Raw genomic sequence first — 24,489 nt, forward strand, 5'->3', positions numbered from 1 at the left:
GACTGACTGAGTCTTCTGGCCTCCATCTTTCTCCCGTGCTGGATACTTCCTGCCCTCGAACATCGGACTCCAAGTTCTTCAGCCTTGGGGCTCTTGTACCTTCGACCACAGACCGAAGGCTGCACTCTCGGCTTCCCTACTTTTGAGGTTTTGGGACTTGGACCGGCTTTCTTACTCTTCAGCTTGCAGGTGGCCTATTGTGGGATGTCACCTTGTGATCATGTGAGTCAATACTCTTTAATAAACTCCGATTTATATATACATCTATCCTGTTAGTTCTGTTCCTCTAGAGAACCCTGACTGATACAGATTTTTTTTTTTTTTTTTTTAGTTTTTTAATGTGATTGGACCTCTCTGCGGAGTTTGGTGCTACTGCCACTCCCTCCTTGAATATTCTGCTCTTCTGACTTCCTGATAGTAGGATCTTTTGGTTTTCCCTCCGTATCTCAGGGCAGTCCTTTGGTCTGAAGCTCATGTGCCCTTGTTCCTCATCTTGGTCCTCTCCCTGCCTCCCTCTCCTCCTTTCTCCTTCCCTTCCTTTCTCATCTCACTGTGTGCACGGTCCCCAGGCTCTCTCTCCAGTTCCCTACATTTATCTCACATGCATGCAGCGGTGATGCCTGACTTAGATTAGCTTCCTCAGAAACAGACTCCGAGATGGAGATTTGCTGGCAGAAAGCTAAGTGGGGAGCATTCATGGGAACAACACCTGAGGGGGATGAAGGGCCAGGACAGCAAGGGCGGGTTTACACTGAGATGTAATTCAACCAAAGGCCTTGGCGATAGGCCAGGGGGACCCTGGACCTCGGGGGGTCCTTCAGGGATCTCCTGAATTGAGGCCAGAACTTAGCTATTGTGTCCCTGCAGCAGACAGTCACTGGATGTGAGCTGCCCCTAGGGAGGGGGCATCACCTTGGGTGTGGCTGCTTCCTTTTACCAAAGGGAATTCCTAAGACTGGCCCAGCTACAACTGACAGCAGCCGATGTTGCCTGCAGCTGGGGAAATGACTGTTTCCGTCCTGATCGGGGGATCTGGGCAGAGTCACAGGATCCACAACACAATCCCAAGTCTAAATTTATAGTCCTGACCGTTTTCTGAGCAAGCACTAGGCTTACCTATCCACCTCTGCTGAATGTAATTCCCGCCCTGCAATGGCTCCCCAATCGCAGCCTGCTGCTCACACCGCGGCTTCCTCGTAGTCTCTCCCCACTGCCTGGGACATGCACTCACATGCTATATTTATCCATTCTACATGTGTTTAGGAAGTGCACCCCTGCCAGGCGCTGTGCTAGGACCTGGGGCACTTGCCAGGGGCTGGCTGACTGGAATTCAGCTATTGGGCTAGAGTCAACCTGTCTCATTCAGGGAGACTGAGTAGGCAGCTCTTGATTGATGGAAGGCAGGGTGGGTGGCGCAGAGTCCACAAGGACCTGGGCAGGGCCAGGCTCACTGGCTCTGAAACCTCCTTGTGTCCAAGCAGTGGGATGAGGGGGAAAGCAAGATCCAGGGGGGTGGTAGCAGGAGCTAGTCTGAGGGCCTGGGGCAGAGGCTTGGACGACAGGTCAGATGTGTGCAGGGCTTGGGGGAAGTGGAGCAGGGTGCCTCCTACCCCACGCAACCCCTGCCTGGCTCCCTGGAGAACCACAGGCACTTCTCTGCTGCGGCCAGCTCCCCAGCTGCAGAAATTGACCTGTAGTCCCCAATGCCTCAGAAGGGCCAGCCTGTGCCTATCTAGGTGCCCACAAACACACCTGAGCCCACTGTGCACACATACATGATGATACTTCTGATTCCCCCAGAGGCATGCACATAAGCACATCCATGTTCCCCACACACATGCACATGGATGGACATACATGCAACTCCCGTACATACCTGTGGCTCTGTGTCCGCACTTGAAACCCCATCTGCCCTGGCCCACACAGGTGAGGCCCATTTTCTCACTGGTACACACACATGTGCAAGGACACTCACAGACATTCTCATGTACTGGTGCGGGCACACGCCTTTGCATGCTAGTTTGGAAAGCCTGAGTGACAGCTGTCACAATGCGGCTTTGTGGGCACCTTCCGGAGGAGTCGCTGCTGCAGGGCAGGAAGAATTATGGCTCTGGTTGCGTCAGCCACCGGAGGGGAGAGGTGAGGCTTTTCTCTTTTCTCTTTTTGGGGCCAGCCTTCTGAAGTGCCATGAATAAGAATTCAGTTGCCTTTCCTCCCCAGAGACCAGGTTGCTCTCTAAATACCAAGGCAGGAAAGTGGAGACTTAAAAAGGTCATTACCAAACATCGAGAGGGTGGTATTTAGCTGGTGAAGCAGCTCCTGGAGAAGAGACCTCAGACCCCAGCAGGAAGCCTTTATTTTCACCTTCATTTGCTTCCCTGAGTCTGAGAGGTGGGGAGGAGCAGGAGGCTCCATCCTCCAGGGTTGAGCTGCCCCTTGAGCTGGGGGGACACACCCCCAAGTGCGGGAGTGGGGCCATTTGGGATCACAGAAGGCTCTAGATGGGAAGCAATGGTAGCCCTATAGGTGCTGATCCTGGGGGTGCGGGGCCTAAGGGAACTCCCCACTTTTTCTGGGAAGGAGGTGGGAGGAGACAAGGCAGGGATTCAGTTGCCACCTAGCACTACAGAGGCCTGGCAGGGGCCACAGAGGCCCATCTCTTTGCTTCCAGACCTAGGCAGAGAGGTTTCTGGGACAAGACAGTCATTCCTCCCTTTGGGAACACCTCCGTCTCTCCATTCTTTTGTAGCTAAAGTGGAAAAAACACAGATTACTTAACAGCTTGACAGCACAATTCCTTTTAGGGTCTTTGTTTAGGGAAATACCTTGCTAAGCTACCTGGGCTAGAAGGTGAGGTCCTGAGGGCAGCAAGTTGACAAGAGCCAAGGCAATAAGAACAACTAATTGGCTCAACTGTTCTGCATGAGAAGGTGAGAGGAACTGGTTTTTCTGCAGAGAAAATGGGAGAGAGAAGAAAGGCTGGGAGTGGGGGCGGGGAGGTCAAGGGAGAGCCGAGGAAGGAGTAGGAGACTAGGGTGCTGGGTCTTCTCCATTCGTCCCTCCAGGTCCTGTGCCCACCCTTGTCCACCCTGATCTGGGCCCCTGGCCTGACCTGTGTGAACACCTCTGACCTCAGGGCTCTCCTCTGCCTCTGGCCTTCAGTTGGGTTTGGCCAATAGGCAGCACTGACAGGAGATCAGAGGGTGGGAGGAGAGAGAGGTGGGGCATTTACTCCTTGCCTCCCTTCCTGCCTGGCTGCAGGTCACAGGCCCCCGAGTGGAGACCCCCTTGACTATGGTTATGCACACAGTCCTGCCTCCTTCCTCCTGGCTCAGCCAGGCTTGTTTACTGAAATGCTGAGGTGACGTCACTAAAGACGGGGTAAGCCTTTGGGACAGGATGCTACTGTTTGCTTCTAGCTTGGTATGGCCACGAAGAGAGGAAGGGCTGGCACAGGTGGATGGCCATGGGGCCATGTTTGGGGCATGTAGTGGGGAAGGGATCATTAAAAGGAGGCGCATGGCCCTGACGTGGGGCCTTCTGTGTGACAAAAACCTTGAGTTGCCAGGCTCTACTGCCTGTGACTGGTGAACTGCCCCCTGCTGCTCAGGATCAGGTGGTGCCTGCTCCTGGTCTACTTGTGGCCACCAGGAGAGGGGAAGTGGGGTGCAGGTAGGAGAGAGGAGCTCCAGGACCCGTGACTTGCGAATGGGTTTATTTTTCTGGTTCCTGCAAGACAGTGGGGATCGGGGGAAGACAGGCAGAGGGAAGGCTTTCAGGACCCATTTTTTTTTTTCCTGACTCATGATGCATAATGCAATCAGATGACATTTAAATATTCATGTCATAAAAGAGGATGCAGATGCAAGTGTGAGACTGGTGGGCTGGGGCGGAGGGGAGGGAGAGAGGGGTGAAATCCACATGTGGCGTTTTGTGGAACCACAGGATCTCCGCGTGAAAAAGGGTATTTGGGATCATTTAGTTTGACTCTTACCTGTGGTAAGAATCTCTTTATGGCATTCCTGATGGTGGGCACCCTCCTCACCAGGCTCACTCTGTCCTAAAATGAGACTTTCCATCATGGGGCAGCAATCCTTGCCCCGGGGAATTCTTCCTTAGACTGAGCTAAAATCTCTCCACTGCTACCCTCACTGGTCTCCCCCAGTGGTCCTAGCTCTGGCCCCAGAGACCACCTATGATGTGGTCACTCCAGTGTCCCCTGACAGCCCTCAGAGATCTCCAGCAAGTGATTCTGTCTTCCCAGCTCTAAACCAAGCAACCTAAGCCCTTCTGCTCCTGCCCACAGCTTTGTTAAGGTGCTGCTCAAGAGACCTCAAGAGGAAAGGAAGGAGAGAGCGTGCATCTGCAGATGAATGCTCATCCTGAGTGGGGGCTGAGCCCCTTGGACTGTCCTCATGTCTGGACATTTGCCACCTAACTAGAGAGTGGATAATGCCTGGCTCTTTGGGGATCCAGTGAGGGAGTGGGGTGGAAGGGAACCAATGCAAGTTTGGGAATTAGGAGATTTGAGGTCTTGATCTAACCTGGATACTTCTGGCTGTGCAAAGTCATTTCACCTCTCTGAGCCTCAATTTCTTCATCTGTAATGTAGGGACACCTCCCTTATGAGGTTTCATGAGGATTAATGGGAGCTGGGAAGAGCAGTGTCCCTTGGCTGAAAGGGCCAGGACACTCCACTGGGTTTGGGGTTCTCTGGCTCAGTGCTTGAGGCAGAGGGAGAAGAAAGCAGATACTTGAGGTTCTTGGCCAGCCAGGGTCCATCCTGGCAGACTCCAGATGACAGCTACTAAGTGACGTGGCTGGAGGATTGATGCACCTGCTCAGGGCTGGGCAGGAGGTCTTCGTGGTAGTGGCAGTGGCCCCAGCTGTAGAGTGGAATAGATGGGACAAAGCCCAGAGCCATAGGGTATAGTTTTTCTCCCCCACTGTCTTTGCGATTTTGGGGAAAAGTCCTAACTTCTCTGACCCTTACTTTCTCTATTTGAAAATAATAGGAAAAAAATGGCCAAATCCTTCTGGTAGATGTTCTAAAGATAAAAGAGGCATTAATTGATTGAGTTTAACAGGAAATGAACCTGAGTGGGCAGGGCTTCTCAGAATAACAGGATGGGTAGGGGGTAGGGTCATAGGTGCTCCCAAGAGCCATGGGGAGCCATGGGGGATGGAGGAAGCTGTCAACAGGACACTGGCCTGGCCAGATCTAGCATTATCCCTCCCAACCTGGAGGCAGCAGTCACACCCTGTCCCATGCCTTTAGAACCCAGGGCAGGACAGGACATTGAGGGCAGTAGTCCAATGGCCCACCATTGTATGTGGGAATCCCCACTACAGACCCCAGCTGAGATTTTTTTTTTTTTTTTGTGACAGAATCTTGTGTTGTTGCCCTAGCTGGAGTGCAGTGGTGCGATCATAGCTCACTGCAGCCTCAATCTCCCAGGATCAAGCAATCCTCCTGCCTCAGCCTCCCAAGTAGCTGGAACTACAAGTGTGTACCACCATACCCAGCTAATTTTTTTTCTTAATTTTTAGTAGAGACAAGGTCTTGCTATGTTGCCCAGGCTGGTCTCAAACCCCTGAGTTCACCTGACCTCAAAGTGTTGGGATTACAGACATGAGCCATGATGCCTGGCCCCAGCTGAGATTCTTGGCTTCAACTTCCTGACTGAGGTGGAACTCACCACTTCCCACAGTACGCCATGGCATTGCCAGAGGGGCTGATAGGAACTCTCCTTCATGCTAGAGTGGGTTTTCCTTTCCCCACTGACCCCTCAGCTTTCTTGACCCCAGACAGGCTTGAGAAGGTTTAAGAAGCTTCTGGCCTTGAGGCTGCAGGAAATGGACATCACAAAACAGAGCAGTGAACAGCTGCAATGAAAGAAGGGCCCGAGCTAACCTCCTGTCCCTGCTCAGACACCTTTCCTGTTCTCAGGGATAGCTGAAAGCCCTCGCTACTGTCCCAAGCTCCCTCCTGTCCCGGTCTCTCCAGGCAGAGGCCCAGCCTCTTACTTTCCTTCTGTTGAGGTCTTCCTGGGACTGAGTCTCCCTCAGCTCCCTGTCCCACCACACTGCTCTATGTCTGTCTCTGTCCTCACACTGTTCCTCAGACGAGCTGCTCTTCCTCTCACTATTTGGTCAACCTTCCCTGCACCCTTGACTCCTCCCCCAGCCCCTGTACCCTTGTCTGCATGCCTCCACCTTCTCTCACGGGCCTTTCTCCATGAGGAACTCCTCTCTCCTGTATCACAATCTCTCTCTCTTTACTGCCTTGCCCCCTTTAGCCCAGAAACCTCCTGAAGGCTCTTCCATTGTAGAAAGAAGCCAGCAAACAGACATACAACAACCTCCCTCCCTAGGCCTGGTGGCTCCTTTGGCTCTGACCCTGTCTCTCCCTTGCCTTGAATCCAGGCTTCTTGAGCAGTCCACACTTCTCTTCTCCCATACCTGTGTAATTGGTCTTCTGCTCCCACCAAGACCTTTCCAAGGTCATCAGGTGACATCCTTGATGCTAGGCCTGATTGGACACCCTCTGGTCCTTATCTTGCCTGACTTCCTTGCAGCTTTTGGGACTGGCGATCACACTCACTTTCTGTGCACATGCCTTTGGCTTTGAAGACACCACTCTTGCCCAGATTTCTGCCCAACATCTGGCCCTAGCTTCTCAGGTCATCTTTCTCATAGCTGAGTATCTTCAATATTGATGCACTTGGTCTTTCTTTCTGCTCCTCACACTCTCCGTGGATGAGACCATCCAGTGGGTGACCATGATTGCATCTGTATGCCATGGACTCTTGAATCTCCATCTCTAGCCAGGACCTTTCTCCTGAGCACCAGACCTCATATCCGACTGCCCACTGGACGTCTCTATTTGGATGTCCTTCAAGCTCACCATGTCCAATACAAAGTTCATTGTCTTCCTCCCCAGGGCTCTTTGTGTCAGGGAATGTCACCCCTATCAGCCATCACCCAAGCCTGTGGTCCCCCATCGACTCCTTCATTTCTCTTGCTCTTCTACTTCCCTCCAATGAGTAGGTGTTTCCAGGTCTACTTTCAAATATCTCTTGACTGTGCCCTTTCCTTTCTATTTGTGAATACTATTGCTCTGGTCCAGGCCAGCAGTATCCCTTGCCTGGATACTGACACAGACCCCTACTGGTGCCTCGGCTTTCATTTACTCCCTGATCCCAGCAACACTAGCAGTGCTTGGCCCTAGGGAGGAGGTGAGGTGTCTGGAGAGGTCATTGGGACAGGCCTCTAGCCTTCCTATCTCTTGGACCTTGGCTGAACCTGGGCAAATCTGGAGTTCTGGTTCCTTGTGAACCAGGGCCTGCCCTGGGGGTAAGGAGTACGACTGTGTATGCGTGTGTGTGCTTGCACTGTATGGGTAGTGTGTGTGTGTGTTTGTATGTGCAGGAGAAGAGGGACGATCAAGGAGGAACTCCTGGCTGGGTGCAGTGGCTCACATCTGTAATCCTAGCACTTTGAGAGGCTGAGGCAGGTGGATCACCTGAGGTCAGGAGTTTGAGACCAGCCTGACCAACATGGTGAAACCCCATCTCTACTAAAAATATGAAAATTAGCTGGGCGTGGTGGCAGGCATATGTAATCCTAGCTACTCGGGAGGCTGAGACAGGAGAATTGCTTGCATCTGGGAGGTGGAAGTTGTAGTGAGCCGAGATCGCGCCATTGCACTCCAGCCTGGGTGACAAGAGTGAAACTCCTCTGTCTCAAAAAAAAAAAAAAAAAAAAAAGGAGGAACTCCTATCCCCACAGCCCCCAAAGATGTTTCCCTAGAGCCTGTCTCCTGCCCGCAGCCTGCCCACGTGGGAGGACAAAACTCTTTCTGGCTGACTGCCGCCCATGTTAGCTGAGACAAGAGTTGTACATCTCAATTTTTATCACATGAAAATGAAATAAAGAACACTAGAATAGATCCTGAAGAGGCAAGATTGAAGAGATGACTACTTCTTTGCTGTAGAGACCCCTCGTCCCCTCCACACCTCCCAGTAGAGCTGTTCCTGTTGAGATACCATCACTCCCTCTCCTTGGGGCTTTCAAAGCGGGTGTCATGGCTCTTACATTTTAAAACATGGGAAGAGTTAAACGCACGACAGCAGCAAGAAAAGCAGCTCTGAAATGCAGCGAGTGTGTGGTGCCAGCCCGCGCGGCACCGCCTTCACAGCCTTGCCTTGACTAGACAGAAGATGTTTTCCTTCTCGATTAGGAAAAATCCACAGCTTCACGCCTGCATGGGAGGTGGCAGCGCTGGAATTAGCACTGGGGGAGGGGAGGTGACAAGGTGACAAATATCTCCCTTGCCTTGGTTTCAGCCTTGGCCTGGTCCAGATAAACATTTTGGCTTCCTTTGGGTCTTTCTTTCCCTCCCTTCCCTTATTTACCCAAGCAAAATGAACTGGAGCTACTTCCTACTCTGTGCCAGGCCTTGTGGAAGATCTGAGGTCACAGAGAAATAAAATGTGGTCCCTGCCCTGGGGGAGCTCAGAGCTAGTCCCAGAGAGTGACGGTAGAATAGATAAACCCAGGTGCCAGTTAGACTCTTCTTGCCCTTAAGATCCAGGTCAGCTCAATTCAAACCCTCATACAACAGACTGTACACTAAAAATCTCCTGAGGTTCCCGCACATTCCTGGAGGGCTTCTCACAGGTGGTGGTTAAGAGCACAGACTCTAGTCAGACTGCCTGGGTTCAAATCTTAGCTCTATCTCTTGCTAGAGCAACTGACGCTACTCAATTGCTCTGTTTCCACATCTGTAGAAGGCAGATAATAATAGTACTGACTTCATCGAGTTGTTGTGAGAATTAAATGAGTGAGTTCCTGTGCAAATGCTCAGAGCGGAGCCTGGTGCATGGTAAGCACTATGAAAGATTAGCTCTTATTCTCACTGTCATTTCTAGCTCTCAGCTCTTGTTTGCATTGAATTAATGCAGTTTATGCATCTTCTTACCTCCTGCTGGTGTTGTCGGTTCCACCCTGAGTCAGCCCAGACATGGACCTCAATCCTTTCCTTTGTGTTTCATTAAAAAAATCAGCCTCACCCCTAAAACAAAGCATAGCTGGGCACACAAAGTCTCTGTGGGTAGCAGACATTTCCAAAGGATGGGAGAAGGGATTTATAGATTGCAAAACCGCCAGCAGTGTAAAAGTCCATCTTTGATATTTCCATTCCTAGAAGTCCCTCAGCTTCCACCACCTGAGCTTCCACCTCCTGTTACATTGTTTTATTATTTTCTCCTTTGCTCTTTCCCTCTCTCCCCTACCTCCCAGTTCTCACTTGTTTCCCATGCAGAGCATTTTACCTATCTCTTTCAGTTCCTTGTCTCTTGTCAAATCATACCCTTAGGATGTTACCTCAAGTGCCTTATCAAGGTATTTTCTTATACAAAAACATTTGCTTCCCTAAGAGGAAATCTGGTGTTGGATGTTATATCAGCCAGGATCCAGCCAGGAAAACAGAAACCTCGAAACGTTTAGGACAGAAGGGATTGAATGCAGGGCTTCGGTTGCCGACAGCAGAAGGGTGGAGGAGCCGAACAGTGTGGCTGCTCTGGTAGGTGATCTATTGAAATGTTCCTGCTGGTGAAGAGCCGCCGTCCCCCCTGTGCTTCCCCCACCCGTCCTCCCCATAATCCAGTCACTAGAGCGTTCACCCCGTCACAGCAGGGAGCCTCCGGGATCTGCTCCAGGGTGTCTTTCTCTGATTGTTAAATATTTGGAATGTCACTGCCAGTCTGGATGAATGGGGCCATGGTGAGTGGTAGCAAAGGAGTAGCAAAACCTGATGTGGAGACTGCAGAGGATGGAGCAGGTGGGATGAGACTGGAGGCAGAGGGGGAGTTAGGAGGCTCTGTGGTCAACAGCCCAGGGGGAAAATCTGACCATCTCATTGCAGTTTGTTTCTTGGCAGCACTCCCTCCTCACCAGCGATGAGATCTGGGTGGGACATCAGCCCCATCTTTTTATGGATAGGGAAATTGAGGCCAAGGAGACTGAGGTTTGCCACATCACAGAGCAAGCAAGGACCAGAGCTGGGGCCCCCAGACTCCAGCTGAGGGCTTTCCTCACCATGCACATCCCCAGAGCTGGGTTGTTACATGGCATATCCAGGTCAGGAGGAGGAGAGGAGAAGCGAGGAGGACCCGAAGGTGAGCAGAACCTGCTGGAGGGAGACGGTGGGGACCAATGAGTTCTCTGCAGGACAAAGCAAAGCTGGAGGGGCCTTTGAGTGACTGCAAAGGGAAGCCACAATGGAGCAGTCAAGGACACACACGGCCCCACTTCTGTGAAAGGAGGAGATGAGCTGTAATTGGGGGTGGTGAGAAGTGTTTCCAGGGTGGCAACAGGGGAAGGAGATCAATGCTCTCAAAACAAACCTAGCACCAGGGCCCTGCTCTCTGCGTGTTAACTTCCACTTATCTCATCAATGCACAGACTGTTGGAATGGAAGACTGTCAAATGGAGACGGAACATCTGGTCCTTGGGTGAGTCCGGGTCAACCTGGTTCTTGCTTGAAAGTAACAGAAATGAACTGTGGTCAATTTAAGCAAAAGGGCATTGACTGGAAGTCTTTGAAGTTATCCCAGACCCAGGAGGAGACATTAGGACTGGCCTTAGGCACAGGCAGGAACTAAGATGATGATGGTGAGCCCGGGAAACAGAAGGTGGTCTTGAGGCTGGCACAGGCTGGGGGTATGCAGCTGTGGCCAAGGCTGACCTTCAGCCTCCTGCTCTGCCAGCATCCCTCAAGAGTCACCTGGGAGGGGAACTGAGGCCCCATGTCCACTCCCTGGCTGTGCTAGGGTCAGGAGAAAGAAAAGCTCAGCTTTCAGGCCAGAAAGTAGTTACCTGGAATCTTCTTCCTGCTGAGACAATACTCAAGGTGGGAGAGGTCACTCCCTGCCCCCACCCCTCAAATCCGGGTGATGTTAGAAAATGGGCTTTGGGGAATCAACATCCAATAAATACTGGCTGGCTAGGGTTCTTCGGGCCTTCCCTTCTCCCTGGGGTCCCCCTCCACCCTGTACTCCCCATCCCAGTCCCTGAGCGCTCTCCTCCCTCCCTCAAGTTCTCCCAGGGACAGTTTTTCATTTCAGCTGCTGCAATATCTGCTCCGGCAATCATCTCTCCCTCTCCACTTTCCTTTGGCAGCTCCTTGCTGTTCACTCTGCAGCCAGGACATATTTAAAAGAGAGAAACTTTAAATTAAGTTTGGGAGCGTCTAAATGAAAGAAAACAAACCCTCACCATTATCACAGGAAAGAAAAGGGCTTCTGGCTCCTGGTGGAGAATTGTAGACTTTCCTTCATTTTGAAGCCAGGAAGAAAATCAGGAGGTTTTTTTCCTCTACCTCACCCCCGGACACCCTGCCAGCCTCCTGCCAGCCATGCACCAGGTTAATGGAATACGGAGCATTAGCCTCGCTCTCTGAGTGCAGGATTGCTTGCCCCCTGGACTCAGATGGGAATTGCTTATGGGCTCTGCAGGCTGAGAGGAAGGGGGCTCCTGACTCAATGATTTCATTCTCCCTGCAGCATCCTGAATCTCTCTTTTGGAGGAGGGGCAGTGTACTTGAAGGAAGGAAGGAAGGAAGGAAGGAAGGAAGGAAGGAAGGAAGGAAGGTGGGAAGAAAACAGGCAAACTCTGGGCCCTGGGCAGGCTGCTTAACCTGGGAGGTCTCAGGAGGAGTGGCTGTCCTGTCCTGGCCCTGAGGATCTCCTGGGGTGAACTCTGTCAGGAGGGCCTCTCCTATGCTGTGCTTGGTGCTGCCGGCATGAACGAAGACCCATGTGGTATGACTCACTGCATTGCTTCCTCTGCCCACTTCTTCCAGGGTGGGCTGGGATTGAGGGCAATGACACTTACTGGCCACTGTGCTTCACCTGCCAGAGACAGAGGTTCACGTCTTCCACTCAAGGCCTCTCTCTCTCCCCCCGCTCACCTGTGGCTTTAGGCTCTTGGGAGGCTAGAGCTGTTGGGTTCATCTCAAGTGAGCATTTCCAGGGCACCCAATGTGTTGAGGCAGGTCTGACCCTCTTGGTCAGGGGCTATTCCTCTCCTGGAGAGCAAGAGGTGGATGGTTAGGCCGGTTCTGCACCAGGTGTTGGGACAAGCATTCTTTTCTACTTCTTTCTTTGTCTCCTGTTCTTGCCTGAGCTTTAGGGGCAGGCATTTGGGGTGCAAAGGTGGGGGAAGGTGCCAAGGAAGCTGCCAGGTCTGTCTGCTGTTTTCAGCTCAGAGCCACCCAGGATGCAGACTGAGGTTCCAGAGCTCCTCCTGATCCAGCTTAGGCCCTCAGACAGCAGCTGGGGTCTGGGGCTGAAGCCTCAGCCTCGGGAAGTCCCTCATTATCCCCTCCTGTCCAGCCCAGGCCCTCAGACAGCAGCTGGGGTCTGGGGCTGAAGCCTCAGCCTCAGGAAGTCCCTCATCATCCCCTCCTGTCCAGCCCATGGGAGAAGCTGGCTGCTTGGAGTTCAGAAGTTCTGTCTCTATCATCTGCCTGAAACATTAGCTCCTATTGCACTTACTACAGGCCAGGTTCAGCACTGTGAGTTCCACTGACATTGTCTCTTATTTTTTATTATGGTAAAATACATATAATATAAAATTTACCATTGTAACCATTTTAAGTGTGCAATTTGGTGCCATTAAATACAGTCACATAATTGTGTAACTATCACTAATATCAAGTTCTACCACATTTTCATCAACCCATACCCATTCAGCCATCCCTCCCCATTCCCTCTTCCCTCTAGCCCCTGGCAAACACTAGGATGCTTTCTGTCTCTACGGATTTGCCTATTCTGGGTATTTCATGTGAAAGGAATCATGTAATATGTGGCCTTTTGAGTTCATTTTCTTCCACTTAGCATACTGTCTTTGGGGATCATCCATGTTGTGGCATGTAGCAGCCTTTCCTTTTTTATGGCTGAATTATATTCCATTGTATGGATATACCACATTCTGTGTATCCTTTCATCAGTTGATGGACATATATTTTTTAATGCCTTTTGGCTATTATGAATAGTGCTGCTATGAACATTCATGTACAAAGTTTTGTTTGAGCACTTGTTTTTGATTGTCTGGGTTATATATCTAGGAGTAGAATTGCTGGGTCCTATGATTATTCTATATTTAACTTTTTGAGGAACCACCAAACTGTTTTCCGTAACAGCTGCATGACTTTACAGTCCTACTAGCAATGTTTGAGGGCTCAACTTTCTCCATATTCTTGCCAACACCTGTGATTTTCTGCTTAGAAAATTATTATAGACTTTTTTTTTTTTGAGACAGGGTTTCGCTGCGATGCCCAGGCTGGAGTTCAATGGCGAGATCTCTGCTCACTCTAACGTCTGCTTCCTGGGTTCAAGTGATTCTCCTGCCTCAGCTCCTGAGTAGCTGGGATTACAGGCATGTGCCACCAAGCCTGGCTAATTTTTGTATTTTTAGTAGCCATTTTGATATGAAGGACAGTGTAGTTTTTCTTTCTTACAATAACTTCATGAAGCAAGCACTTTTAATTACTCCCATTTTACAGATGAGGAAATAGAGATCTGGAGAAGGGAAGTTCATGTGTCCAGGACACACAGCTTGTGAGGACCAAGTCAGGATCTCAACTCAGGTCTGCTGACTCCAAAACCAAGGCCCTTCCTCACAAGGCTGCCCTCCATCCCACTTCTACTAACAGCAGACTGCCTTTGATGTGGGAAGGAACAGAGAGGCCCCATTAATAAGGTGAACTTGTGGAAGGCACTTAATGTCCCTGAGCCCCAGTTTTCTTATCTGTCAAAGGGAAATGTTGATGCCTGCTCCAGAGGGTCCGTGAAAATAGTCCATGGGTGTGAAGTGCTGCATGGTTGAGAGGATGGCTCTTATTTGCGGAGGGCTCCAGACCATCATCCCAACACACAGAAAGCAGAGATTAAATCAGCGTTCACAGGCAGACAGATAGACAGACAGGGTTTTTTGAAGGACAGCACTGAGATTTGGAGGAGATGGAGAAGCACTAGCACTTATTAGTATTAGGGTGCAGAAAGTTTAATACTTAAATACATATCTAACATGAAAGGGTACACGTGTGTACCCTTTCACATTATTTGGATGATAAAAGCAATCCATGTTTTTTTTTGGAAGCCCAGAAAATTTAGAAGAGCATAACGAAGGAAATAAAAATGATCCAGAGTCTCACCAGTTAGAAACATGTATGGTTAACATTGCCTCATGTTTTCACATCTTCTTTCCCTAGACACGATGCAGCATGCAGGGGGCTTCTCAGCCTGTGCAGAGTGTGTCCTGCTCTGGAATTCAGCCATGCTCTGGCATAGCTGATGAGCTGGTGACACAGGGCCACCACCATCTCTTCTGGGACTGAAGCGCCTCCTGGAAGAAAACTTATCCTGCGGTAAGAGGCAGCCAGGCAGGGCCAGCTCTGGGTCTGAATATCGGCTCCACCATGGGTGGGTGGGTGGACTTGGGCCCATTTTCCTGCTTCCTAATCTATAAGACGTGGGATAATAGTGGAGCCCAATTCACCAGCTGTTTAAGATGGTTGCATGAAATAACAATACCTGTAACAAGGCACAAGTGACAGCATTTTCATATCTAGAAGCTATCAGCGATTTCTCTGTATAGACCAGAGACAGAAATGGAGTAGAGCTGTACAGGCAATCTATGTGAGGCTTCCTCAGAGTAATGCAAATATAAGGCCAGCAAGCAAACTTACTGAGGTAGGAAGACATTTTTCTCTGTGTGTGTGTGTGTGTGTGTGTGTGTTGCATAATAAAAGAGCTGGTACCCTGGATGCTCAGGTGGTGCTGGCAGGATTTACACCTGTGCATGGACTGGTTGCGCCAGGCAGGCAGGTCTGGTCTTTAACAGGAACATTCTGTTTCTCACTCTATTGGTGTTTGGAAGCAAGTTTGACTCCTTAGGGCTTTGAATAACACAGAGGCAATGAGGATTGAGGCCTTGAGATGGAGTCACTGAACTGTGCGATTAATATTGGTGGGCATTTAAATAATTGGAAACTTACTAACAGATGTGTCTGCATTTTTACCCCCACCTGCTGAGCTGGGCCCTTGCTGGTAATAGGCAGGTTAAGTACTTTGAGGGCTTGGCACACAAAATGTATACAATGAATAGAAGTGGTTATAAGCTGTAGGGCCAGATGGGAGAGGTGAGGCTGAGCATATAGTGGGAATTATAACTCAGGTTTTCCCTTGGGCCTGACCTATGAACGCCTATGTGTGCCCTTGGGAAGATAGAGGGGAATTAAGCAAAAATGGAAAGAACACTTTGACTAAAAGCTCTATAAGTCCTTGGGGACATTGACAGAGCTCTTGGCATACGCCCTTCCCCAAGAGAAGAACAGACGAAAAGCCTGCCTGCCTGCACCTGTTCCCTTCTTCTGGGAGCTGCTTCATCTCCTATCCCATGCCACCCTGTGGTTTGAGTGGGAGCTACCAATCACGGTATTCATCCTTATAGTCACACAAGTGATCACATGACCCAGGTCCATCCAACCAGGGACTTTCCCTGAGAATTTTTATTTGGAACAAACAGAGAAAAGCCATTCACCCTTATAGTCACACAAGTGATCACATGACCCAGGTCCAGCCAATCAGGAACTTTCCCTGAGAATTTTTATTTGGAACGAACAGGGGAAAGCCAATCCTTTAAAGGCAACAGCATGAGCTGTCATCCTCCAAATTATTGTGGGCCTGGTGGACCTCCCCCACCTTGTGGGAGAGAGCAATCTGAGTAGCAGGAGGCAGAGCTAATCCATCAAGAGAAGTGGAGGTGAGAAATGGAGTGGTGGGGGTTGTTAGAGGGCATTCAAATCCTGGTTGTGGTCATTCCTATACTCCAACTACACCCCGTTACTTCCCATGGTTTGGACATGTCACCCAAGATGCTCTTCTTTTCATCTGGCTACCTCAAGTTGGGATTCCAGAACTTGAAGGTCCTGTAGTACTAGGTGATTCCACGTGCATTGATAGTAGTTTGGCTGAACATATTGGGAGCCTGGTTGGGGGTAATGGCACCTGCTGAGAATGGCCATGCCCAGCAAAGGTGGTGTTATCTCATAGAAATGGCAGAGACACCCAGGAGAGAAGGCAGTGCTGGGGAAGATGCAGTACCCGGCAGAAGCAGCAGAAAGTTGGGGGTGGGTGGAAGTGGGCACAGAATTGAGCAGTCTTATTGGTGAAATCTATCATACATACATACAATTGATGCAGTCTAGTATTCTTTTTATTTCCACTTGCCTTTACACCTAGGGCATTTTCCCTTAAAATTAAATATGAGTGGAGAACATGATTTTTAATGACCACATAGCATTCCATCATATGAATCCAACATAATCTACTTAACAAATCCCCTAGTGTTGGAGATTGTAAATCAATTGTCTTCATATTTTTTGTTTGCTTTAATTTTTTTTTGTTATTGTATACTATGCTGCCAGGAACCTCCTTGGAAATAAATCTTTGTGTACATTTCTAATGGTTTCCCTAGGAGAAATTGTTATAAATGGAATTGCCTTATCAAAGAGTATGGACATTTTAAAGCCTTTGATCCATATAAATAAATTGCCTCACAGAATGATTGTGACAATTCATACTCCCACCATAAGGTAGAACAGTTTCCTTTCCTCTGAACCAGTGCCAGCCCTAAGTACTATGATTTTTTAAAAGCTTGGTTAAGATGACAGGCAAAATATATGTCTCATTGTTTTAATTTTGATTTCTTTTATTACTAGTGATATGGAAATTTTTCATATATTTATTGGCTATTTGTAGTTTTCTATTGTACCTTTCTTATTTATGTTCTTTCCTCCTTTTTTTAATGGGGTTTCCGGATTTTCTTATTGATTTGTAAGAGTTATTCACCTTGTCTGTGATGTATGTTACAAATATTATTTCCTAGTTTCCTAGTGTGTTGTTTGATTTTTAATTTTGTTTACGATATTTTGATATATGTAATGGTTTGATTTTTTTTCTTTTCTTTCTTTCTTTTTTTTTTTAGATGGAGTCTCGCTCTGTTGCCAGGCTGGAGTGCAGTGGCGTGATCTCTGCTCACTGCAACCCCTGCCTCTCAGGTTCAGGTGATTCTCCTGCTTCAGCCTCCTGAGCAGCTGGGACTACAGGCACGCGTAGTACGCGCCTGTATTTTTTTAGTAGAGATGGGGTTTCACCATGTTGACCAGGATGGTCTTGATCTCTTGACCTTGTGATCTGCCCGTCTCGGCTTCCCAAAGTGCTGGGATTACAGGCGTGAGCCACCGTGCCCAGCCTGATTTTTATGTTTTTAGATTAGTTATTCTTTTTTTGTGCTTTCTTCTTTCCAAAGAAAAGAGTGCTTTGAAATACTTTCCTCACTCCAAAGTCAGGTAAATATTCACCCATGATTTCTTCCTGTTCGTCTAAAATCTAATAGATTAAACTTCCTTATCCATTTAGAATTTATTTTGATGGAGGTGAGGTAAGGATCAGATTATTTCCCCCTCCAAATGGTAAATAATTTGTCCCAACACCATGTGTTAAAAAAAATCTATTCTTGGCCATAATTAAAAAGTAAAAAAAAAAAAAAAAAAAATTGGCGTGGATGTGGTGAAAGGGAACACGTTTACACTGCTGGTGGGAATGTAAATTAATATGACCAGGATGGATATTCCTTACAGAACTAAAAGTAAATCTACCATTTGATCCAGCAATTCCACTACTGGGTATCTACCCAAAGGATAAGAAGTCATTATCTGAAAAAGACACATGCACACACATATTTATAACAGCACAATTTGCAATTGCAAAGATATGGACCCAACCTAAGTGCCCATCGGCCAATGAGTGGATAAAGAAAATGTGGTATAAATATATGATAGAATGCTACTTAGCCATTAAAAAGTATGAAACAACACTGTTTGCAGCAACTTGGATGGAGCTGGACACCATTATTCTAAGTGAAGTAATTCAGGAATGGAAAACCAAATGTCACATGTTCTGACTTATAAGTGGGAGCTAAGCTATGAAGATACAAAGTCATAAGAGTGATATAATGGACTATGGGGGCCGGGTGCAGTGGCTCATGTCTATAATCCCCACACTTTGGGAGGCCGAGGCGGGCAGATCACCCGAGGTCAGGAGTTCGAGACCAGTCTGGCCAACATAGTGAAACCCCGTCTCTACTAAAAATCCAAAAAAAAATTAGCCAGGCATGGTGGTGTGTGCTTGTAATCCCAAGTACTCAGGAGGCTGAGGCAAGAGAATCGCCTGAAGCCAGGAGGCGGAGGTTGTAGTGAGCCAAGATCGCACCACTGCACTCCAGGCTGTGCGACAGAACGAGACCCTGTTTCAAAAAAAAAGGACTGTGGGGAGAGGGGTGAGGGATAAAAGACTTCATACTGGGTATGGTGTACACTGCTTGGGTGACAAGTGCACTAAATCTCAGAAATCACCACTAGAGAACTTATCCATGTAGCCAAAAACCACCTGTACCCCAAAATCTATTGAAATAAAAAAAATAAATTATTTTACCACTCATTTGGAAGAGTACCTTATCACCTACTGAAGTTTTTTAAGTGCTAGGATCTGTTTCTAAGCTTTCTGTTAGGTTCCTCCGGTCTATTTGATCATTTTTGGACAATAATGTAATTAAAAAACCCAAACCATGAGTCCTTTTTTTTCCATGGGGAAGTTTAATTCAGTTGTATTTCTTGTCAAAATTGATTATATAATTTTGCATTCTCATTGAGTTTAATGCTTTTTTTCTTTTTAAAGCTTTTGTGTGTTGTTCACTGCTGTATCTTCATTGCCTAGAATAATGCCTGGCAAAGAGCAGGAACTCAATAAATGCGTATTAAATTAAGGTATATGTGAATTTAGTATAGGATTAAAGTGGCCATTTAAGTGAAGAAGGATAAGTAATGTTTCTGGCTAGTTATCCAGAAAATAAATAAATGTACATTCTTACTTTATATCATGCACAAAACAAATTTCAGATAAATTAAACATTCAATCTTCAAAATAAACTAAACAAATATTAGAAAATGTTGGGGGATGTGTTTATAACAGTTGAGTAGATAACAGTCCTTAAGATAAAAATGCAGAAGCGACAAAAAAAGGTGGATTATTCTGTCTACCTCCAAGTTTAAAACTTCCCTAAGACAAAGATGTCATAAACCAAGCCAGGTAAAGCAACCGACTAGGAGAAAATACTTGCAATATGTATAATAGACAATAATCAGAATAAATGAGATTCCACAAGTCAAAAGAAAAATAAAGCAAAATTAGTACAAAATAGGGCAAAAGATATGAATTGGCAATTCACAGAGGGGAAAAATGGCCAAAAAAAGTTTAAAATATTTTGATAATCAGGGTTATAAAAACTAAAATGACAGTGAGATAATCATCACTTATTTGGTTAGAAAATACCAAGCAGTGGGTTGGCTAGGACATAGGGAAGGAGTACAACCATACACGGCAGAGGTGAGTGTAACTGGCATCATAGAAGGCAGTTGGGCAGAATCCATTAAAATAAAAAATACACAGGCCCTTGGATGTAGCAATTCCACTCCTTGGTATTTACCCTCCCTAAGAATTACTCTCACATGTGCAAAAAAAAGCAGCTATAAGATGTTTCTCCATCTTTGTGAGGTTAAACAATTGTAAAAATCTTCATTATCTTTTTATGGAAGAATGATGAAATAAACTGAGGAATATTCATAGTAAGAATTTTTAACATATTTGTGCCATGAACCCCACTGGTAGTCTGGTAAAGCCCACAGATTCGCTCTCAGAATAATGTTTTTAGTGCATAAAATAAGATAGATAAGATTACAAAAGAAGCTAATTATATGGAATGCAATTATCAAACTTATAAAACTCAGACATGGTGATATATGTATTCTTTTAAGATCAAGATTTAGCAGCAGGTCTATTAACTACTAAAAATTTCAAGTTAAGATGAATGTAAATAATATTTTGAGATACTTGCAATAACTGTAATCTGAAATAAAAATATCTGTGATTTCTGTTGGTGACAAGGTGCTAATTCCACTGTTTTTTGTCTCCAGCTATATTCATTTCCCATTGCTGCTTCGTTTATTACCACAAACTTACTTTATTATGTCACATTTCTGCTGGTTAGAAGTCTGAAGTCAGTATCAATGGACTAAAAGCAAGGTGTGTCGGGGGCTGTGTTTCCTTTAGAGGCCCAAAGGGAGACTCCATTTCCTTGTCTTTTCCAGCTTCTGGAAGCTTCTTGCATTCCTTGGCTCATGGACCCGCATCATTCCGACCTCTGCTTCTGCCGTCACGTCTCCTTCTCAGACTCTGACTCTCCAGCCTCCCTCTCATAAGGACCCTTGTGATTACATTGAGCCCACTAGGATAATCCAGGATCATCTCCCGATCTCAGGATCCTTGATTTCATCCCGTCTGCAAAGTCCTTTTTGCTTTGTTAGGTTCCACAGTGACAGATTCCAGGAATTGGGACATGGATATCTTTGGGGACCATTTTCTGCCAACCACTCCTATACTCATAACTAAAAGAAATGCTAAATTTCAGTTAGGGTTTAGTAGAAATAAATATGCAAAAATTTTCTGCTCAGGTTCATAGACTGCCCTTGAATTCCACCCATGAACCTTAGATCCGGTATTGATACCTATTAACAAACTGCCATCTAGAAAGATAGTACTGATTTATACTCCCTCAACAGGCTATAAAAGTGTCCATTTCCCTCAGGTTGTTACCTAGATCAGGTTTTATCATTTAAAAAAGAGGGAAAGGAAAGGAAAGTTAGAAAGAAAAAGGGAAGGAAGGAAAGAAATCTCTGCCAATCTGAAAGAGGGGGAAACACATATAATTGAGAATTTAGCTTTATTTAGACATTACGTTACTTTTTTTTTTAATTTTTTTTTTTTTGAGACAGAGTCTCGCTCTGTCGCCCAGCCTGAAGTGCAGTGGTGTGATTTCAGCTCACTGCAACCTCTGCCTCCGGGGTCAAGCGACTCTCCTATCTCAGCCTCCCGAGTAGCTGGGATTACAGGCTCACGCCAACACACCTGGCTAATTTTTGTATTTTTAATAGAGATGGGGTTTCACCATGCTAGCCAGGCTGGTCTTGAACTCCTGACCTCGTGAACTGCCCGCCTCAGCCTCCCAAAGCTCTGGGATTACAGGCATGAGCCACTGTACCCGTCTATGTTACCTTTTAATCTCAAAACTTGCTTGAAATTTCAACACCATCTTATGAGTCTAAAGCAAAGGTTGGCAAACTTGCTGAAAATGGTCAGATAACAAATATTTAATGCTTTTTCTGCTTTATGGTTTGTGCTGTGCTGGACACTCGATTCTGCCATTGTGGTATGGAAGAGCCATAGATAATATGTAAACAAATGAGCATGGCTGTGTCCCAAGAGAGCTTTATTTACAAAAGCAGGTGGTGGGCCCAAACTGGCCTGTAGGCCATAGTTTGCCAATCCCTATTTTAGAGCAGTACTTTATATTAAAAATATAATGCAAGCCACATATGTAATGTAAAAATTTCTAGTACCCACATTAGAAAAGTAAAAACAAACAGATGAAATGAACATATTTTATTAGATTCAACATATCCAAAACATTATCATTTCAACATATAATCAACATAAAAATTATTGAGATATTTTACAATTTTAATTTTTCAGTATGTATTCACAATCTGGTGTGTGTTTTACACTTTCAGTGTTTCAGTTCAGACTAGCCACATTGCAAGTACTGAATAATCCTATGTGGATGGTGGCCACTGTATTGGACAGTGTAGTTCTGGAGCATAATTCTAAGCCCAATTTTATTTTTTCTTTGCAGAAACCAAGTCTTTTTTTTTTCTGTTAAAAAATTAAATTTAACGAGTATATATTTAAGTAGACTATGTTTAATTTTTTTCAATATTTTTGTCTGCTATTTAGAGATTGCTTTCAAACTGTGGACTCAGTTTTTTAACACAGAACACATTTCTTCTGTTATATCCTTGATTATTGCTTTGGTTCTCTTCCTATATATATTTTAGCAGCACTAATTATTTGTATATTGGGTCTCAATTATTTCTCTTACCTGTTTTTTAACCCCTTTTTCTTTTGCATTATGGAGAAACTTTTAAAGCTTATTCTTCACATTACTAATTCCATTTTTATGCTATTTTAAAAAAATCTTTATAGGCTTCTAATGAAGATATTGTATTATTTACAATATTTCCTTATATAGCCCTCTTTTTATTGCTGCCACTCCGCCAATGAGTTCTTTTCATATAAACCTTTTGACTTATCAATTACTTTCCTCCCATTTTAAATTCAATTTATTCAACATAAAAATAAGTTTATTCACTTAAACCTCTGTGAAAAACCTTAAAATATTATCTTTAAACTGTCTAGTGTGTTTGTCAGCTACTGCCACAATCATGCTATATAACAAGTCTCCCAAAACACTGTGATAAACAACAATAAATACTTAGATTCTGAGTGTTGGTTGCAGCGTTCTGCCTGAGGCTGTGGCCTGCATGTTGACTGGGCTGGCTCTGCTCCACGACTCACTCTGGGCCAGTCCACCTGAGACATGTTATTTTCACAATGGAATGCAAAGTTCCCTGAGAGCCAAAGAAGAAACGCTGTATGATGCTTAAGTGTGAGGCTCAAAACTCACACAGGATCACTTCCGCTCACATACCATTGGCCACAGCTAATCATCTGACCAAACTCAAAATCAATTGGGTGGAGCTTTGTCAGTTCACCCTTCATCACTTGTTTTAAAGAGTCAATTTGGCCGGGCATGGTGGCTCTGCCTGTAATCCCAGTACTTTGAGAGGCTGAGGCAGGCAGATCATGAGATCAGGAGATCGAGACCATCCTGGCTAACACGGTGAAATCCCGTCCTACTAAAAATACAAAAAATTAGCTGGGCGTGGTGGCATGTTCCTGTAGTCCCAGCAACTCGGGAGGCTGAGGCAGGAGAATCGCTTGAACCCAGGAGGAGGAGGTTGTAGTGAGCGGAGATTGCGCCACTGTGCCCCAACCTGGGTGACAGAGCGAGACTCTGTCTCAAAAAAAAAAAAAATAGAGTCAATTTATAAAACCATGATGATATACTATTACATACTTACTAAGATGGCTAAAGTAACAAACTGACCATGCTGCTTGTGAGGATGCTGAGAAACTGGAACTCTCTTGTAACGCTGGTAGAAGTGCAAAATGGTATGGGCCCTTTGGCAAACAGTACAGCAGAGTTTATAGCTAAATATACATCCACTATGTGACCCAGCAATTCTACCTCCAGGTATTTACTCAAAAGAGATGAAAACTTATACTAAGTGAAAGAAGCGAGATTCAAAAGCCTGCGTACTCAAAAGGCTGTGTACTGTGTCATTCCAGCAAAGGAAAGACTATATAGTGACAGAGAACAGATGAGTCAATTCAAACAATGAATGCAAACAAAAGCTGAGGCCTTTCTAAAAATGCCCTTTGTTTCCTTTAGTAAATTGTTTTCATAAGAAGGCTCTTCTCCTTGGCATACAGTGCTATAACCTCTGTTTTATATTGCAGCATATTTCGCAGCCTGTGTTGTTGGATTTTCCCCCTTTCTAGTCATTTTGTTTGTTTGTTTGTTTGTTTTGAGACAGGGTCTCACTCTGTTGCCTAGGCTGGAGCGCAGTGGTGCGAGCCTTGACCTCTCAGTCTTAGGTGATCCTCCTACGTCAGCCTCCCAGGTAGCTGGGACTGCAGGTGTGTATTACCACACGTGGCTAATTTTTTTTTTTTTTTTTGTAGAGACGGGATTTCACCATGTTGCCCAGGATGGTCTCAAATTCCTGAGCTCAAGTAATCTGCCTGCCTCAACTTCCCAAAGTGCTGGGATTACAGGCTATTGTGCCTGGCCTCCTCTCTAGTTTTGAATGAAAAAATTTCTATCTACATCTAGTGTTTAACCCTAATTGGAGAAGGTGACTCCTCCTTGGTTCTTCTCATTCTCCCTCGTTGTAATTTTTCTATCTGATTTCAAACAAGAAGGTCCGTATCTACACTGGTTTTTCTGTCACTCATGGCTGGGCCTGGCTCAGCTAGCATCTCTGCAGGCTATGCTGGCACCAGAAACAGTGTCCAAGGGGCATCATATGGCATGCCAGGGGGCATGTCCTAGACTTAGGGAATCCAGTTTTAGGAGATGATGTGTGATGCCTTTAGTGATGCCTTTAGAGAAGGCTGCCCGGGAAAGGGGCCCCAGGACAAAGGAGACCCAGGCCTCTAGCTTGCTAGGCTAGGTGACAGCTGAGCCTGAAGAAGTTACGGGGACTTATTCCATCCCCTGACCTGTCAGGAGTGTGGTGAAGGCAGAGGAACCAGGTGTTATCCAGGCTTGCCAGCCCTTGGGCTCCTCAGTTTGCATAGTTTCTTTTCTAACTGAAACCCTCCTTACCCTCCTCCATCAGCC

General features: G+C 46.4%; 3 annotated features.

The window, feature by feature from the left end:
* Positions 1,737–2,448: an enhancer, noted in NCBI's record as "H3K27ac-H3K4me1 hESC enhancer chr1:37195631-37196342 (GRCh37/hg19 assembly coordinates)". NCBI's record gives its function as "activates a minimal SCP1, AML or CMV promoter by ChIP-STARR-seq in primed H9 embryonic stem cells {active_cell/tissue: H9 hESC(primed)}" and the evidence as "EXISTENCE:reporter gene assay evidence [ECO:0000049][PMID:30033119]".
* Positions 2,449–3,162: an enhancer, noted in NCBI's record as "H3K27ac-H3K4me1 hESC enhancer chr1:37196343-37197056 (GRCh37/hg19 assembly coordinates)". NCBI's record gives its function as "activates a minimal SCP1, AML or CMV promoter by ChIP-STARR-seq in primed H9 embryonic stem cells {active_cell/tissue: H9 hESC(primed)}" and the evidence as "EXISTENCE:reporter gene assay evidence [ECO:0000049][PMID:30033119]".
* Positions 15,540–15,672: a transcriptional cis regulatory region, noted in NCBI's record as "candidate enhancer chr1.4865 targeted for multiplex CRISPR interference". NCBI's record gives its function as "positively regulates AGO4 gene expression with high confidence in K562 cells {active_cell/tissue: K562}" and the evidence as "EXISTENCE:mutant phenotype evidence [ECO:0000015][PMID:30612741]".

Source organism: Homo sapiens, chromosome 1 (genome assembly GCF_000001405.40).
Source record: "Homo sapiens chromosome 1, GRCh38.p14 Primary Assembly".
NCBI classification, from domain to species: domain Eukaryota; kingdom Metazoa; phylum Chordata; class Mammalia; order Primates; family Hominidae; genus Homo; species Homo sapiens.